This window comes from Homo sapiens, chromosome X, assembly GCF_000001405.40.
Source record: "Homo sapiens chromosome X, GRCh38.p14 Primary Assembly".
Taxonomy (NCBI): domain Eukaryota; kingdom Metazoa; phylum Chordata; class Mammalia; order Primates; family Hominidae; genus Homo; species Homo sapiens.
The window spans coordinates 154,890,015-154,907,761 of NC_000023.11; the positions used below are offsets into that span (position 1 = coordinate 154,890,015).

Here is a 17,747-nt window from a genome sequence, read left to right on the forward strand (position 1 = left end):
TGAGGATTCTGGTGCCAAGGATTAATGTTAACCGTGCAGGCATCTCTACCACCGTTAGAGGAGACCAGCAGCCCACAGACTCTTTCTGTCAAGGGCGGGATAGAAATGTGTTAGTCTTTACAGACCACAGGTGGTCTCTGTTGCACAGTCTTCTTTGTTTCTTTGTATGTTTGTCTTTGCAATCCTTTCAACGTGTAAAAACTATTCTTAACTCACAGTCCGTACAAAAGCAGGCTATGGGCCAAATTCTGGGGCTATAGTTTGCCCACCCCTGAATTAGAACCCAGGACATAGTAGTTGCTCAGTGACTGTTCAAGGAATGAACCTCATGAGAGTAGTTAATAACTGTAAGTAATTTATCCTTATCGTTAAAATACAAAGATTGAAGAATAAGTGAACTAAGCATTCACCTCCAGATTGTAGGAAACAAACCAAAAGAAAGGAAAATAGAATTTTTAAAGTTTTGAACAGAGATTGATGAACTAGAAACAGCTCTTTCAAAACCACGTTTGGGTTTAAAACTGAGCTGATTCTTTGAAAAATTAATAGAATAGACAAACACTTGCCAACTCTTGATACAGAAGGGAAAAAAGGAGAAAAGACATATGTGTGTATACAGATATAGATGTATGGCACAGGAAGGGATATATGACTCTAATGTGCACATTTGCAGACATTAACTCAAGGCAACACAAATGAGAATAGCAATAATCATATAACGATTGGAAAATATAGCCTAGTATCTCTCACTAAATAAAGCACATGGCTCATATGGCTTTTTCATTTACTCTCATTAAATACTGGATTCCTACATTAAATAAGCTATTCTAGAGCAATAGTCTTCATGGAAAAAAATGGAAGCTTTCCCACTTTATTTTCAAGTTTAATATAACCCTCATGCCAAAACCTGGTAAGTAGAGCTACTGAAAAAGCTAAACCCATTTCATTCATGAATATAGATATAGAAATTATAAATGAAATGTTGGCAAATTGGATCCAGCTAAGTTTTAAATAACTAACACACTATGACTGACGAAAGTTTTCCCAGAAATGGAGCACAGTAGTGCTCTTGCACTGGTCTGTGAGAGCCAATTGTAAGTAAGCATCTCTTCCCATCCCTGGGGCCAGGCATGATGGGAGTAGTATTTATGTCAGGGAAATCTGCCAATGCTATAAATCAAGGCCTTTACTTCTTAACCTCTTCTCACTTTGCTCCCCTGTGGGTTGTTAATTTCTTGTCAGCACACTATTGAATGTTAAGTATAATTTGACAACACAAAAGAGAAATGTGACCATGTCAAAGATGCTGGAAAAGCATTTGATAAAATTCAGTTGCCATTGCAAATAAAATAGGGATAGGAGAAAACTTTTTAAACATCATAAAAAGTATTTGAAACTAACAGTGAACATTATATTAAACAGTGAAACACAGGTTACATTCTCATTAAAGTCAAGAGCAAGACAGGCTTATTTGTTATGTGTTTACCAGATCCTGTCAGCATAATGTCATCAGTGTAATGGACAGGCATTGTGCTTGTGGGATGTAAAGATGTTTGAGGTCCCTTGAGTCTATATTATGATAGAAAACAAGAGAGCTAACATTGCCCTGATGCATGGGCAGTAAACTTAATACTCTTGTTCCTACTTGGTAAATTCAAATGTATTCTGATTTTACTAATGTATGGAAATGAAGAAAAAACATTCTCTAGGTCAATACTTCCATATCAGGTGCCTGGGGCTGTGTAAATTTGCTTCAACAGAGATATGATATCTGGAATTGCAATTGTTTTTTGGCATCACCACCTGATTAAATTTGTGATCTGCTGTCATTTTCTGTGACTCGCCTGGCTTTCGTAGTGTCCAAACAGGGTCTCTAAGGAGAATAGTCACTGGTTTGTGAGGCACCTATCTCAGTTATAGCCACTGAAAGGCTTTTACACAAAAGAGGGATGACTGCTTCAGAGACTGGGGAGTGGTTGCCTCCTCAGGCAAAGGAGGTTCAGGGGAATTTGGAGGTTTGCAATTCTCAGCCTCATCCATGTCTGCCTAAATGCCTCCATCTCAGGCCTCAGAGTTTCACTCCTTCCCACCGGTACTCTTACCACAGCATAATAGATCTGGTGGAGTTAAGCATTTAATTGTCACTGCAGCTCTGCAACTTATGCTCAGCCCCTAAGTCGTATCTGCCTACAACCACAGGATACGGAGTATTCCTCAAAAGCTCTATGCATGCATCCTGATTTTCCATGTATGTTCATCAGTGTTCTTATTTTGTATATATTCATAACATTTCATTTCTTTTTCCATGTGTATGCCCTCTAGGGCTGTAAGAAGACAGACCACTCTACAATCAGGTAATGCTACGTTTGTTGCCACAGTGACTAAATGCCACTGTCATTTAATCTCCCCAGTGTCTTACTTGCCATCTGCAACTCATCCCATAGTATCACTGGTGATAATCTGAGAAACTATAATACTAACACATGTCATGGATTCCCTAACTGCTCATTTTCTTCCTTGGCAAATATGTTATCTCTGTGTTTCTTGAATATATTAGCAACATAACCTTAGAATTGCATTTTGAAAATCTGTTTCCTGGGGTTTCTTCTAGCACCAATTACTGTATGAAACAAGGGATCCAGCAAGGAACAGAAAACATGGAAATTAGGATAATTTGTGGAAGGTTTAATAAAGATACTAGTTAGGAGGGTGGGAACAGAGTATTACCATCCTGTAAACCCAAAATAAAATTCTAATCCCCCCTCCTTTCGGCAAAGGGCCTTCCAAAGTTAACCTGAAAAACGTTCAGGCCATGATGGGAAAGTGGGGATCAAATATGCCTTATTATACCCGCCTCCCTTTTGGAATTCAGAAAAATCTGACCAGCATTAACATCAACACAGACCTTCAGACTGATAGAACAGACTCTTTAAGTCTGATAAGAAACATTTACAATCTATTCTCTCTGAAGCCTGCTACCTGGAGGCTTCATCTGCATGACAGAACCTTGGTCTTCACAACCCCTTATCTTAACCCCGATGTTCCTCTCTATTGATTCTAAGTCTTTACACAATAACTTAACTCTTTCAACCAATTGCCAATCAGAAAATCTTTGAATCTACCTACGACCTGGAAGCCCCGCCTCGCTTCCAGTTGTCCTGCCTTTCCAAACTCAATGAATGTACATCTTCCATCTATTGATTTCGGTCTTATGTCTCCCTAAAATGCGTAAAACCAAGTTGTAGCCAGACCACCTTGAGCACATGTTCTCAGGATCTCCTGAGGGCTGTGTCACAGGCCATTGGTCTCTCATATTTGGCTCATAATAAATCTCTTCAAGTATTTTACAGGGTTTAACTTTTTGTTTGTTGACAATCCCTAAACCTGAAAGGATCAGAAGAGAGAAACATCCTGAAAGAGAGAATTGGATAGATTATTGTAGTGGCTTTAAAAAATGACCACCAATTATTTAACATTTCTCCCATTAAAAATTAGGGTCTATGTCTCTTCCCCTTGAATCTGGGTGGATATGCGATTTGCTTATAACCAATAGAATGTATTGAAAGTGAGGACTAAACTCTGATTTTTTTTTATCTTGCCCAAATTCCTATCTAAGGGGTCTGGGGAGTCATGCCCTACAAATCATAAATTCTCATCAGATGGGTTTTATTTAACCTTATATGTCATGATTTACTTTCCAACCTTACTCTGGCATAACATTATGAGACAAGGAAGAAAATCAAAATATTTTACCCCAAAACATGTTTTTTTGCCATATTTTGAAATGGCCCTGCAAAGCTGTTCTTTGTGGAGGGAAATTTGCAACTGTAAAGAATCTCTATTAACATAGCTAGATCTTTTTCTCCCAGCCCCTCCCAATCCTAAAGAGATTAACTAAGATCTGAATACAAAACATTTGTCATCTATTGTCTCTAAGGGGAGCCACTATAAGACTTCAAAAGAACTTTGGTCTCCACAATGTTTATCTTAACCTGAACATTCCCTTTCTATCAATCCCAGGTCTTCAGACAAACTCAACCAATTGTCAACCAGAAAATGTTTAAATTCACCTATAGCCCGGAAGCCCCCAGGTTGAGTTGTCCCGCCTTTCTGGACCAAATCAGTGTATTTCTTAAATGTATTTGATTGATGTCTCAAGCCTCTCTAAAATGTATAAAACCAAGCTGTGCCCTGACCATCTTGGGCACATGTTCTCAGGACCTCCTGAGGGCTGTGTCATGGGCCATACTCACTCATATTTGGCTCAGAATAAATCTCTTCAAATATTTTATAGAGTTCAACACTTTTTGTCAACAAAAGTGATGCTACATAACTTAGAAGACTCGGTCAGAAAAGGTTATGTAGTCTTCACCTTGTTAACTGTAACACTCACACTTGGAGGCCCTAAAATGACGTGTAAGAAGTCCAACTACAGGCCGGGTGCCTGTAATCCCAGCACTTTGGGAGGCTGAGGTGGGCGGATCACCTGAGGTCAGGAGTTCAAGACCAGCCTGGTCAACATGGCAAAACCCTGTCTCTACTAAAAATACAAAAATTAGCTGGGTGTGGTGGCATGAGCCCGTAGTCCCAGCTACTCAGCAGGCTGAGGCAGGAGAATCACTTGAGCCCGGGAGGCAGAGGTTGCAGTGAGCCGAGATCACACCAGTGCACTCCAGCCTGGGCAACAGAGTGAGACTCTGTCCTCCCCCCACCTTCCTACCCCCCCTCAAAAAGAAGTCCAACTACCTTGAAACATGCTGTAAGGAAGGCCAGGCCTCAGGGATAATCCATGTAAAGTTACATCAGTCAACAACCCCAGATTCTGTCCTAGCTGACAGTCAGTACCAACCACCAGAAAAGCAAGAGAAGGAACTTCCAGATGATTCCAGCACCCAGCTGTTAAATAATCCTAACTGAGGCTCCAGAAACCACCCATCCCCACTGTGTCCCAGTCTTGATCTACAGAATCTGTGAGCAAAACATAATGGTTATTGTTATGACAGCAAGTTTTGAAGTGGCTTGGTACACAGCAATAGTAGCTAGTACAGGTAGAAAAAGCCACTCTGAGGGAAACAGTGACCTTAAGTGGGGAGATACAGTGAACTCCTCTGCAAGGAGAAAGTCAGAAGAATAAATATGCCAATCTTTTGCCAGTGCTCCCTGTTGGTGAAATCCAACCAAAAGCTGGAGGACAAGGTAACCTGTTGATGTATTCTATACAAGCTCACCTCACAGAACAAGAAGCAGGGTAGAGAAGCAGGAAAATGGATCTAAAGGGGCAAACAAAAGTTATCTTGCTTGGGGTCATTTGAAGACTTTGAACTTTATTCTAAAGACAATGGGAAGACATTGAAAAGTTTTAGGCAGGCGACTGATGATTATCCTGAAAATGATGTGCAGCTTTTATCGGAGAACAGATTAGAAACGGGGGAAGACTAGTTAGGAATGTAATACAATAGATCAAGTGTGAGGTGATGGGACCCTGGGCTGTGGCAACAGCGGTATAAATGGAAACAGAAGAAAGAGATGTGAGAGGCATTGCAAATAAAGGATTGACCAGATTTGTGGGCATAAAAATGAGGGAAGAGTAGACAATAACGCTGAGGTTTTAAGCCTTTAAGGGTCTTGAGCTCACCTCTAGAGAATTCATCAATTCCCAAAGTTTCACCCATCCTTTTATGTGGAAGTCATGAATCTTCATCTCCATCCATGGTTTTGCCCCCTAAACTTGTCTTTCACCTACTGCCTGCTGGACATTTCAACCTGATTGTCCTACTATAACCTCAAACCTAGGATATCCATAAGCAAGCTCACAATCATCAATCCACACAGTCCTGAATCACATATTTCTATCAATACAGCATCTCTTCATTTCTATCATCTATGAGCCTTGACACTACTACATTTTTGCTGATATGTCCGTAATAACTCTATTGCTCATAAGTGAAAAATTATTTTTTGGAATTAAGTTTGTGGAAGCTAAGAGTGTTTGTCCAATATCTGAAATCTGCCAAAATTCTTTAAAGTATTCAGGCATTCCCTTTAAATGACTAATTACATACCATTAAGGTTCCAGTGGAATTTCCTCGATAAGTCTGCCACTTCTTCCCATCAAGACTATACATGATGATAAACTGAGAGATGTAGAGGCTGGAGAACTTCTGACGGGCACCCTGGGTCTTGATGCCGTGAATAATCATTGGTGCCAACAGATCCACCTACCAATTAAAATAACACTTTATTTTAACCTATTTTTAAATGTATGTGCTACCTCCTGAAACTAATTATTAGCTTAGGAAGAATCTACATTGCTACAGGTGTGTCCATCATTACCTTAGGTGTGCAAGTGAAGCAGTCACCAATGTTGAAATGTGCATGTGTGTGTGAAGCTGTGGGATACACAGTAGAAATGAATGGAAAGATGCTTATTGAGTTCCCAGCCTGCTTCTTGACAAACCAAACCACTACCAAATCATTGAGCCCCCATTTCGTACACACACACACACACACACACACACACACATACACACAAACACACACACACCTTTTGTGGACTCACATAAGCTAATGGACCCACATAAGCTAATGCTTTGCCCACACCTCAGCCTCAGACCAAAGCCAATTTCCTCCCCTCTCCTGAAACCAGACCCACCCCAACATCACTGTCAGTGATGAACTGCTACACCTCCTTCAAGTGTTAGTTCAGAAACTATTTTTCCTGGTTAGCCTTCTCTGACTCACCCAGACAAATTTAGTGCTGCTTCTTCTATGCTTCTACTTCACTTTGTATATAACTTCATTATAGCAAATTATTGCACCATATTATAAGGTTGCTTTGCTTTTCTGCTTTCCTTATTAGACTGAGATCCTTAAGGCAGTGAACCCATTTGAGTCACCTAACTTTCTGTGTCTCAACTTATCTGTAAAGTGAAGATAATATTAGTTTTTATCTCAAAGGGCTGCCATAGGGGTTAAAGAGTTAATACATGTAATGTGCTGAGTTCAGGGCCTGGCGCATACTAAACACTCAATCAATGTTAGCTTTTATATTCTCTCTAGCCCCAGCACCTAATATGGTATCTGGTATAATACTGCTGTATAGCAAATGCTTTGGAATGAATGAGTGAATAATGGGAAAGTAGTACAGAATGGACACTTCTTAAAGAAGAGGTCATGGGCTGCAAGAACATTAGAAGTATCAGTTACTGTCCTAATAAGCAAGTCAAATTTAGCACGTTTTCACACATGCCTGACACACACAATTGGACTGGTCATCACTCTTATGCTTAATAACTGTCTCCTTCAGCTGACTGTAAGTTCCATTCATACACTCATTCAAAGAATATTTTTTAGCACTTGCTATGTGCCAAGCACTGTTTTAGATACAGGGAATAGAGTAGTAAACAAGAAAGAAAGCCCTGCCCTCATGGAACTTACAGTTGAGTAGGAGAAATAGACCTTATATCATATATGTTTTTATTTGTTTATAGCATCAAGTAGTGATAAGCGCAGGAGAAAAATGAAGCAGGGTAACAGGACAGAGTGTCAAGGTCTTCAGAAGTTGCAGCCCTGTCTTTTCCCAGATAGATGGTATTCCCAATCAAAGACACTTCATTTTAACCTCTTGGTATTGTGGCATAAAAAAGTGAAAGCACCAGGCACAAAAATCATGATTTCTACTGAATTGACTTTTACTGTTTCTTCATATAGATAGAGTATAAGAGTTCTTTCTTGGACCAGTGATTATTGTATTTTCCAGCAGCCTTGCTAGAATAAAGCTGCAATAGAACCAGGCTACAATAAAGCCTTGGCAGCCTACCTACATTCTGCAACTGACAAATGCTTGACAACTGATGAATGCTTGACAAACTGCCAGGCTTATCCACTTCATCTTCTTGTGCCTCTTCTACATTATAATTGGCACCTGGGAGCAGTTTGACAATTACAGACTCAACAGCTTCACCTATGTGCCCAGCCAGGTGTTTCAGTGTAACTACAAGACACATCTCTCTACTAGGAAGTAAGCAAGGTGGTAATGAGTTTCACTGTATAAAAGTACAAACACTGCAGCTGCGTATCTCCATGGGGCCTGCTGACTTCCCCCTGTGCATTGCCTGGTCTTGGTCACCTGGTGCTCCTCAAGCCAGCCCAGTGCTCTTGTGTCTTGGGGCCAGGCTGTTGTGCACTCTTCAGGCCTTCTCACGAGAATAGATGCCTTCTCCAACTCCCTTCCTTGTCAGCACCCCCTTTCAACTCCATCTCCATGGTTTATTTTATAAAGTTACGAGATCTATAAAAAGTCTAGCTGGACCTTAGTAGGACAGATGGCAAAACCACCTTGAAGATAAGGCGATTCAATAGTGGTAGATGATAACATAACTAGGTGGATTTGTAACTGGTTTAATTACCACAAGTGAACAGTGACAGTTAATAGATGGTTATCAACTTAAAGGGAGCATTCCGGAAACAGTGTAGTACAACGATTACCAGTTAGGGTTCTGGAGCCCAACTATCAGAATTTGAATTTTGGCTCAGTCACTTATTAGCCATGTGACTTGGGCCACAATAACCTCTCTATGCTTCAATTTCATTATCTGAAATGAAGATGATAGTAACATCTACCTCACAAGGTTGTAGTAAGGACTTAACAGCTTGATTTGTATTGTGCACATACTAAGGAAGTCTTGTCTACTTCAATATTTTGATCATGACTTTGCTGCAGTATTAGAAAGTTTACTGATCAAATCAGTAACTGGAAAAACTAGGAAATACTTTGGGACACTGAAGATCGGCAAGCTGAAACAATGGGCCAAATCTAGTAAGTGGAAACAACAGAGTATATCATTCAGGGTTCATTGGCTAGGCACAGACAGGACACTCTATTTACTAGTCTTATCAGGTTGTATCTAGTGAGGAAGATATAATTCCGCCCTCCCAAATAAGAATGTTATTACAAAAAATTAAATAGCACAGACAGACACAGGGTGGCCAAATAGATAAACATGTTCTCTATATAGGGATACACTTAAGGTTGAAAATAACCATAGAAATACAAGGTGAAGAACATAACATGTTGTTTGGCAGAAGCACAAACCAACAAAAAATACTTAGGGATTAGTGAACAGCAGCTCAGATTGAGTCAAAATTGGCAGTGTCTACAAAACAATGCTGTGGCATTAATAGACATGCTATTTGCAAAGATGGAAACCAAAATGTTTTCTCCATTTCCTGTTTGGGCTTCTAGAAGGCATCTAGCCTTATGTTTAGGTGGAGAGGCTGAGCAGGCACTTCCAAGCTGCCCTCAGCTTTTGTGAGGCATGGAAGAGACCCAAGAGTTTCCATCTGTCTGTCTTTGAAGGGGCCTCATTGATCATATGTTGAAATGATAGTATTTTCAGATATGTTGAGTTAAATAAAATGTATTATTAAAGTGAATTTCACATTTTTGAAAACGTGGCTACAGAAAATGTAAAAGTACACATGTGGTTTGCATTTGTGAACCATTTGTTTTATGTTAAAATAAAGGGGATTGGAGTACTTAAGGACACGTGGGCAGTTGGAAGCATCTAATAATAACATATACTGTCTTGAGAGATGACGAGTTCAATATTATAGAAAATATTCAGATGTTCTAATCCCAGTAGAAGGACTAAAATACAGAAACAGGACATATCAATATACTCAATTCTATCCCCATATCTCTTTGTTCATGACTGCTTTTGTACAAATCATTAAGGCATTCTGTTCTTTAGTTTTCTCATATTCATAGAATCCTTTGAGCTTGCAAGAGGAATAAGTAATGCAATTGATTGAATGTGATACATTTCCCATCATTGATTACATTTTCTAACCTTGATCCAAGAAAAGGGCTCCTTGGTGCTCCAGGCATTGATTGATCCGGAATAATGAAGTCTGGCCAGCTTTGGGGCCCACTGTCCTTTGCCCAAGTAAAGAAACAGAGATTAAATTCAGCTGGGTTAGTCCTAGACACTTGAGAATAAAATTATTGTCTTGAGAAAGGTTAATCTAAGCTGTGGTGAAAATAGAGAAAAACATAAAGGCTTTATGGCATACCAGTATCAATTACTATCTAAGGATATTGCTTATCCTTGTTGTCCATTTTATTTTCTAAAATTTATAATTTTGTTAATTGTTAGCACCTCTAACTAGCTGATACTGCAATTTGTTACCAACACTACCAAATAATAATATTATTTCTTCTTTTCTTTCTTTTTTTGAGATGGAGTCTTGCTTTGTCACCCAGGCTGGAGTGCAATGGCATGATCTTGGCTCACTGCAACCTCCACCTCCTGAGTTCAAGCAATTCTCCTGCCTCAGTCTCCTAGGTAGCTGGGACTACAATCGCGTACCACCATGCCCGACTAATTTTTGTATTTTTAGTAGAGACGGAGTTTCACCATGTTGGCCAGGCTGGTCTTGAACTCCTGACCTCAGGTGATCTGCTTGCCTCAGCCTTGCAAAGTGCTGGGAGGCATGAGCCAACGTGCCCCGCCTATTATTTATTACGCAATGTATGTTCATTGTAGAAAAATCAGAAAATGAAAAGTAAAAATTAGTAAAAATACAAATAAAAGACATTTTAAAATGTAACCCTTCCACCTAGTGAAAAATGTTACTATTTTGGTGTAAAACTCTCACGCCTCCTTTTCAAGAGGATTTTTTTTTACCTCACAACAACATAGGTTGGCAAACTTTTTCTGTAAAGGGCCAGATAGTAAATCATTTAGGCTTTGCATATTATATGGTCTCTGTTGCAACTATGTTACTGCTGCTGTAGCCATAGATGATATGTAAATTAATGGACGTGGCTGTGTTCCAAAATAAGGCTTTATTACGGATGCTGAAATTTGAATTTTATAATTTCACATGTCATGAAATAGTCTTCATCTTTTTGACAATTATTTAAAAATGGAAAATCTGTTCATAGCTCACATGCCATACAAAAACAGGCAGTGTGCTGCATTTAGCCTGTGGGCAGTAGTGCTCTAAAACAATTTCTGAGAATTCTCTATAGACCCTAGTCAAACTTTACCATTACTGCTCATAGGAAAGTATAGCTTCCTGCTGCACTGAAAAGAATTGACTCAAGGAAGAAATACTGAAGGTAGGGAGGATATTTAAGGAGGCAGTGTCATTGCCCAGGTAAGAAATGATGGTGACCTGAGTTAAGATGGCCACAGTGGGAAGTGGAGAGGAGGAGATGTATTTGAGAGGCACTTATGGAATAGAACTAATAGAAGCATGGAGATGGATTCATTATCTGAGATTCTCCACCAGATTATTAAAAAAAGATATAATCAGCCCAGGTTCTTGGAGCAAAAATAATAGTATTTACCATATTGTCCTGAAGCTGTAATCTGAAAATCTCTAATGTGTCCAGAAGCCATTCCCAGGGGAGTCTGACACTCTGAAATGAAACGGGTGGAACACAGTAACTAGAAGTGCACAAAATTCAGCTTCTCAAATGTAAGTCAATGAAAATGGGAGAACGTCAACAAATGCTATTTTTTAGTGTTTAAATGTGCCAAGAACTGTACTCAACGTTTTACTGTATTAGTTCATTTAATTAATCCTAACAGGTGCTAGAATGATTCACATTTTACAGCTGAAGAAACTGGGGTCCGTACATAAATAGACCAGTGGCTCTCTTACTTGTTTAGGGTTAAATCTCCAAACTCTTCCAAGTAGTATTTCTAAGTTATCTGGTAACTAAATCAACATTAAATTCCAAAATCTGCTACTGGAGATCTTCGAGCTTTACCAAGTTGTGAAAATGAGGTGGTATTTTTTTTTTGTCAATTATTTAGAGCTTCAGGTACAAAGTGTTCAAAGCTTCAAGTATATCTGCCCTACTCTGAGAACTCTGATGATTTCTACCAGCAATATTCATTTTAAATTTGATAATGATGTAAACTTGTATTTATTTCCTGACACAAGCAACCATTCCAGAAAGGAAGAAAGCTGTAAAGAAGTAGGCTGAGTAGGTAGGGAACCTCTGCCCACATTGCTACTCACTATTGCTGTACACCAGAAAAAGTGTGCTCATCCCAGCATGTAGATGCTCGCCAATAAGGCATTCCACCCGCCAAATTCCAGCTTTGGATGGTAACATTTCCACTGTCTCAAAAACACCTTATAAAAACCAACAGGAACAGAAATTATTTCTTTTCACTAAAAAATGAGCATGAGATACATTGGTTTATGCGAAATATCAGAGTAGACCTACCAAATTTGGTAGTTCCACTACTTTTGGACCCCTCAAATGCAAAGTGCTTGCTACGTGACCCTTACAGTTGGGGGTTGTGGAGATTGAGTTCTGACCACTCCCCTCCCCCCAGGAGATGAGAAACAGGGTGACTGAATTCTTTGATGGTTGGGACAGGAGAATGCTACTGCATTATGATTGACCTACATTCCCAGGGTCTTTCTGAGCAAAAGGTGTGTTTCCCATTGGCCAGATGTGGACTCTGTGAAACAGATAAGTCAGGGTGAGTTCCCTCTGGATCCAGTCCACTAGAGCTGCCTACAAGGGTAAAGTTACCCCAGCAACAAGAAGCTGCAGGTGAACACTGAGGGCTGAGAAATGAGTCACAAGTGACCACCCAGAGTAAAGGTGGAAGAAATCATGTCAAGGGGATTTCATGACAGTCACGTAAGGGAGTCTCTAAAGAGTTCCCTGAAAGTGCCCTGCAGGAGAAAGAGTCAACAAGTATTGCCAGGCACAAACAGTGTTAAGCTAGTTTACAACAATGGTGCCAGCTGTAAATAGGTAAGAACTATCTTATCCCCTTACCTTTAACCTATCCATGTTGGAGTTCAAAACAGCAGCTATAAAGGGGTTGTGGGGAAGCACGATCATCACAAGGTACAGAAACAGAGGACTCAACCATGTCTCCCTTTTCCAATGCAGACTTCCAGCCTGATGCAGGCTCAAGTTGGAGGAGGGGAGATTGAAGTTAAATCAAGTTTACAATTTTGATTAATATCTTGGGATGGACATTGTAATTTCTGATTTGAACTGTATTTGTGACATAAAGTGACTTTAGTCCTGTTTATTACTTAAGGGTGAGCAGAAAAGTTACAGGGCTTATCAGAATTTTTACGAAGAAATAAGGAAAGTTTACCCCCGCTATTAAACTGGATGGTTTTTTTTTTTTAGAGACAGGGTCTTGCTCTGTTGTCCAAGTTTGAGTGCAGTGGCACTTTCATAGCTCACTGCAGCATCAACCTCCTGGGCTCAAGCAATCCTTCCACTTCAGCCACCCAAGTAGGTGAAGTAGCTGGGACTACAGGTATATACCACATGTCTGGCTAATTATTTTTTGTAGAGATGGGGGTCTTGCTTTGTCACCCAGGCTGGTCTTGAACTCCTGGCCTCAAGCAATCCTCCAACCTTGGCCTCCCAAAGTGCTGGGATTACAAGTGTGAGCCATCGCACCTGGCCAAATCTATTTTAAAGGGACAGTGAAGAACCAAAATAAAATTGTGTTGTGATCAACATTATGAGTAGTGCTTAATCAATATACTGGTTACATACATAAACAAATGACTCTTTGGATGACTACTGGTGCCCTATGGGATTTGAGATGGTAAATGATAAAGGAATAAATTCCTTTTCCCTAGGAAAGTACTGTGACATTAATTATCCATTTATTCTGTTCTATTTCCTTTTTAGCAATTTTTCTATATCTGAAATTATCTTGTTCATTTGCTTTGAACAAATGGTTTAAAAAGCATTTGAAAAAGTATTACTTAAGAGCATGGAGCTTGTCTGCTTTGATCACTGATTGTGTTCCCAGTGCCTAGACCATTTAAAGTAAGTACTCAACAAATAGAGTAGGTAGAAGAAAGAGCACAAACAAGCTCATACCTGGATAGAGATTGTACAGTGCCATTTTATACTCCTCTTTTTTTCGTACAGTGAACACATGTCCACTGAAATGAATAGAATGGATGTTTTCATTGCTGCCCATGCTGAGCAGATACCATCGAATCCTTTGATCCTGAGCCATTACTAAGCCAGGTAGTGTATCCATTATGTAGCCATTGATTGCTGGAGAAGGACACAGAGAAGCCTGTTAAAATCTATTATATAAGTTTCTTTCTCTCCACTCCACCAAAAAAACTGACATCTATGAGGATTCCACTCCCACAGATATACTCTAAATAAATACAATGTTCAAGTCCCTGGATCAAGTCTCATTTGTCAAAGTGCAATCTGCATTTCACAGTGATAATGTTTGGATGTGGAATATATTACCATGGAAGCGATAATTCTCTTTAAAAGTGGGATCTTCCATCTGGATATTGCAGGGAGCCCTGCAGTTTCTTTCCATATTTTCAGTGAAGTACCAGCTTTTGGTCTCATCAAAGATGGTGAAAAACAGAGCAAATTCCTGTACTGTCACTTGTCTCCCATGAGCAGGGTTCAGTGTGTTAGTGTGGCAGACCAGAAGGGGTCCAATCAGGCCTGAGTGCACATCTTTTTCCTAGGGAGGGAAGACATCAATCCTATGAGTATAAGCTCTCTCACCTATGAACCAGAGTGGATTTCTCATCAATTTTTATGCCAGTCCAACCTGCCTCCCACCTTCCAAAAATATAATCCATCCTCTTCAGTAGATTCCAGAATGACATTTCTAAAACACAAATATAATGATCAACTCTCCTATTTAAAGCTTCTTATTGCACGTAGGATAAATATCAAAATTCTTAGTACACAAAGACCATTTCTTTTAAACCAAAAAGTGGTCAGCACAATAGACACCTGCTTACCAGGTCAACATCAGAGAAATAAGCCCAGGCTTTGCAGTCAAACTCATCTTTAGTGGGTGCCATATGATGTTGCACTTTCCAAAAGTAAGTTTTGGTTTCATTAGGCTTGACAAAGTTTTTTCTAGGTTCTGCTCCTTGCCTCTGATCTTCCTCATAAGAAATAAGGCTAGAATAGAAGGAATAGGGACGAGAGGCCTGATTTCTGAAAGTTACCTGTAGAACAATAACGACAAAAAAAAAAAAGCAAGAATAATCTTCTAGGATCTTAAGGTCCTTAGGGTTTACATCCCTAAAAGAAATACCTGTCTTTTGGTCTTTATCAAAGTTTTTAATACCCTGGAAGAAGTGGTACAGAAGATGGATGCTGTTAGAACTCAAACCTAATCCTGAGGAGGTTTTGTATTCTAAATTTAAGGTATGAACTCAAAGTTGCAAAGGAGAAAATTCCTAAACACATAAAAGCCATTCCAGAGTAAAAGGGAAAATGTTACTGCAGGGGTTATAAGAGACCATAACGCCAGGAGTTGATATGTAAGTTAAGGTTCTTCATGACAAATTCTAGAATGAATGCATATTATCTTTTAAAAAAGGCTTACTTTCCAGATTAAAAATTATACATATTTATCATAGAATATAATGGAAAGTAAAATAAAATGTAAGGCAAAAATTGCCCACAATTCCATAATTTTAGATCCTTCTACATCCTTAATATACACCATCAATTAATTGAAACAACGAATAGATATTTTCAGAAAAAAATAAAACTACTTTGATCTTTGGTTCACACAATGCACCAAAATAACTTTTAGTCTACAGGAAGTATTAAAAAGTTAAATGTAAAAAATTAAACTGTAAGAGAAAAACTGAGGAAAGTATAGGTGTTTTTTAAAAAATCTCTGGATAGGCAGGAATTTTTATAAACATAAAAGCAATGAAAGTGTCAAAAAGTAAAGATTGATGGGTTACTACCTAAAAATTAAAACCTGTTTTATTTCAAAAACCATCATTTATAAAATTAAGAGAAAACAAAAACTTGAAAAAGTACCTCTCATTAAAATGTTCAGTGGTTTACTATCTAATATATAAGGTAACATAATCAATAAGAAAAGCACTTCCTCCATGAAAGACAAATGTGCAAGGGACATTACCAAATAATTAATAAGAAAAACTCTTAAGATGCTCAAATACATTGCACTTCTGGAATTTTATCTTAGAAAAACTGTTGTGATTACAGCGTTATTTATATAGTGAAAAAAGAAACTGTCTAAAAGCTTGTTCAAAATAAATGGTTACATAAACTATGGTTCCATAAATTCATATAATAGACTATTATGCAGTATTTTAAAAACATACATAGGAAGTGTTTTTAATGACGTAAGAAATGTTTATGATGTGATATTTAGTAAAAAAACAAGAATCAGAATTCTGCATGGTATAATTTGAATACATAAGGAGAAAAATACATAGGAAAAATAGAACGTACACAAAGATAATTATGGAATTATTTTTCTATACTTTAAAAATTTCCAAAAGTGGGAATACATTATAGTCAGCAAGAAAATAAATATATAAAATTAATTTTCTTGTAATTCCACTGTCCTTAACTCACCATGATATTATCTTCAACTTCTGCTCTTATATATGGCCCCAGGAGTCCCAAATGTTCATTTAGTTCTCCACGGTATAAGGGCTGAGTAAAGGAGCCATCAGTAAATTCCTGGAAAACAACTTTCTTGAACTGAGGGACACTGCCACTCTGAGCCCTGGAGAAAAAAAGCAGAGGAAAAGCAATAATTTTATGTACCAAGTGGGTAGAAATGCCTCACATCCTCATTTTCCTAGGTGCCTGAGAAGCATTTTGCATAGTTAACCACTTCATCTTCCTTGAAATACTCTTGCCAAGCTTTATTAGCATGTAAGTTCCATGAAAGCTGGGGTTTTGTCTGTTTTGTTCCCTGTTGTATTCCCAGCACCTGTAACGGTGCTTGGCACAAAGTAGGTGCTCAAAAAATATTTGTCGAATGTTGAATGAATGTAAAGTTTATAAACATACTCCAAATATAAGAGAGTCCCATGGTCAAGCCCTTGGATCTCTTTTCTTTTTACTTTTTAAAGCCCTATTAAAATTGTGAACTAAAAAAATTGTGAACTAAAACATATACAATAAAGTGCATAAAACACAAATGCCTTTGGTACATAAATGCAATCATCACCCAGATCAGTAACATTGCCAACAACCCACAAGACTCACTGGATGTCCCTTTTCAATCATACTTTCTCCCTTCCCACTGAAGGTAACCACCATTCTGATCTTTATGATAATCATTTCTTTGCTTTTCTTTATAATTTTACCAGTTACGTATACATCCTTTAAAAATATAGTTTAGTTTTGCCTGTTTTGAAGTGTGTAAATAAAACATACTACATATATTCTTTTGTTTCTTCTTTCACTTAGCATTCTGGTTGTGAGATTCATCTATATTATCATATGTAGCTATAGTTTGTTCATTCCCATTGTTGTATAGTATTATATGAATATACCCTAATCACGGACATTTGAGTTGTTATAATCTTTGGCACTTTCATATGGACCTGCTATAACCTTCTGGTGCATATCTTTTGGTGAACATATATGTGCATTTCTGTTGGGCGGAATTACTAGGTATGCATGTGTTTGGCTTTGGTAGGTATTGCCACACTGTTTTCCAAAGCAGCTGGACCATTTTCCATTTTCATTAGCAATGTATGAGAGTTCCATTTGCTCCAAATTATTACAAATATCTGGTATTGACTGTGTTTTTACATTTTTGGATGTTCTATGAGGTTGAGCATCTTTTCTTATGAGTAGCAGTCATTTGGATGTCCTCTTTTGTGGAGCACCTATCCAAGCTTTTTTCTGCCAAGTTTTCTCTTGGATAATCTGCTTTTTTCTTGTTGAATCAAAAGAGTAC

The 17,747-nt window shown here is 38.5% G+C and overlaps 1 protein-coding gene across 1 annotated transcript in view, besides 1 other annotated feature; it reads right to left on the minus strand.

Annotated features, from left to right (window-relative positions):
* Nucleotides 1–316: part of a non allelic homologous recombination region, noted in NCBI's record as "int22h-1 recombination region, recombines with either the int22h-2 or int22h-3 recombination regions", that runs on past the window's edge. NCBI's record gives the evidence for it as "EXISTENCE:polymerase chain reaction evidence [ECO:0000082][PMID:9694739]" and "EXISTENCE:restriction fragment detection evidence [ECO:0001124][PMID:8275087, PMID:8528212, PMID:7981669]".
* The window catches only part of F8 (coagulation factor VIII), a 186,932-nt gene that overhangs the window by 54,223 nt on the left and 114,962 nt on the right, over nt 1–17,747 (minus strand). The window contains exons 15-22 of the mRNA NM_000132.4: nt 16,406–16,559; nt 14,797–15,009; nt 14,282–14,510; nt 13,892–14,074; nt 12,037–12,153; nt 11,357–11,428; nt 9,852–9,937; nt 6,063–6,218 (exon numbers count right to left, since the gene is read on the minus strand). Coding sequence (NP_000123.1) covers nt 6,063–6,218; nt 9,852–9,937; nt 11,357–11,428; nt 12,037–12,153; nt 13,892–14,074; nt 14,282–14,510; nt 14,797–15,009; nt 16,406–16,559 — 1,210 coding nt within the window. The remainder of the gene's footprint in view (nt 1–6,062; nt 6,219–9,851; nt 9,938–11,356; nt 11,429–12,036; nt 12,154–13,891; nt 14,075–14,281; nt 14,511–14,796; nt 15,010–16,405; nt 16,560–17,747) is intronic.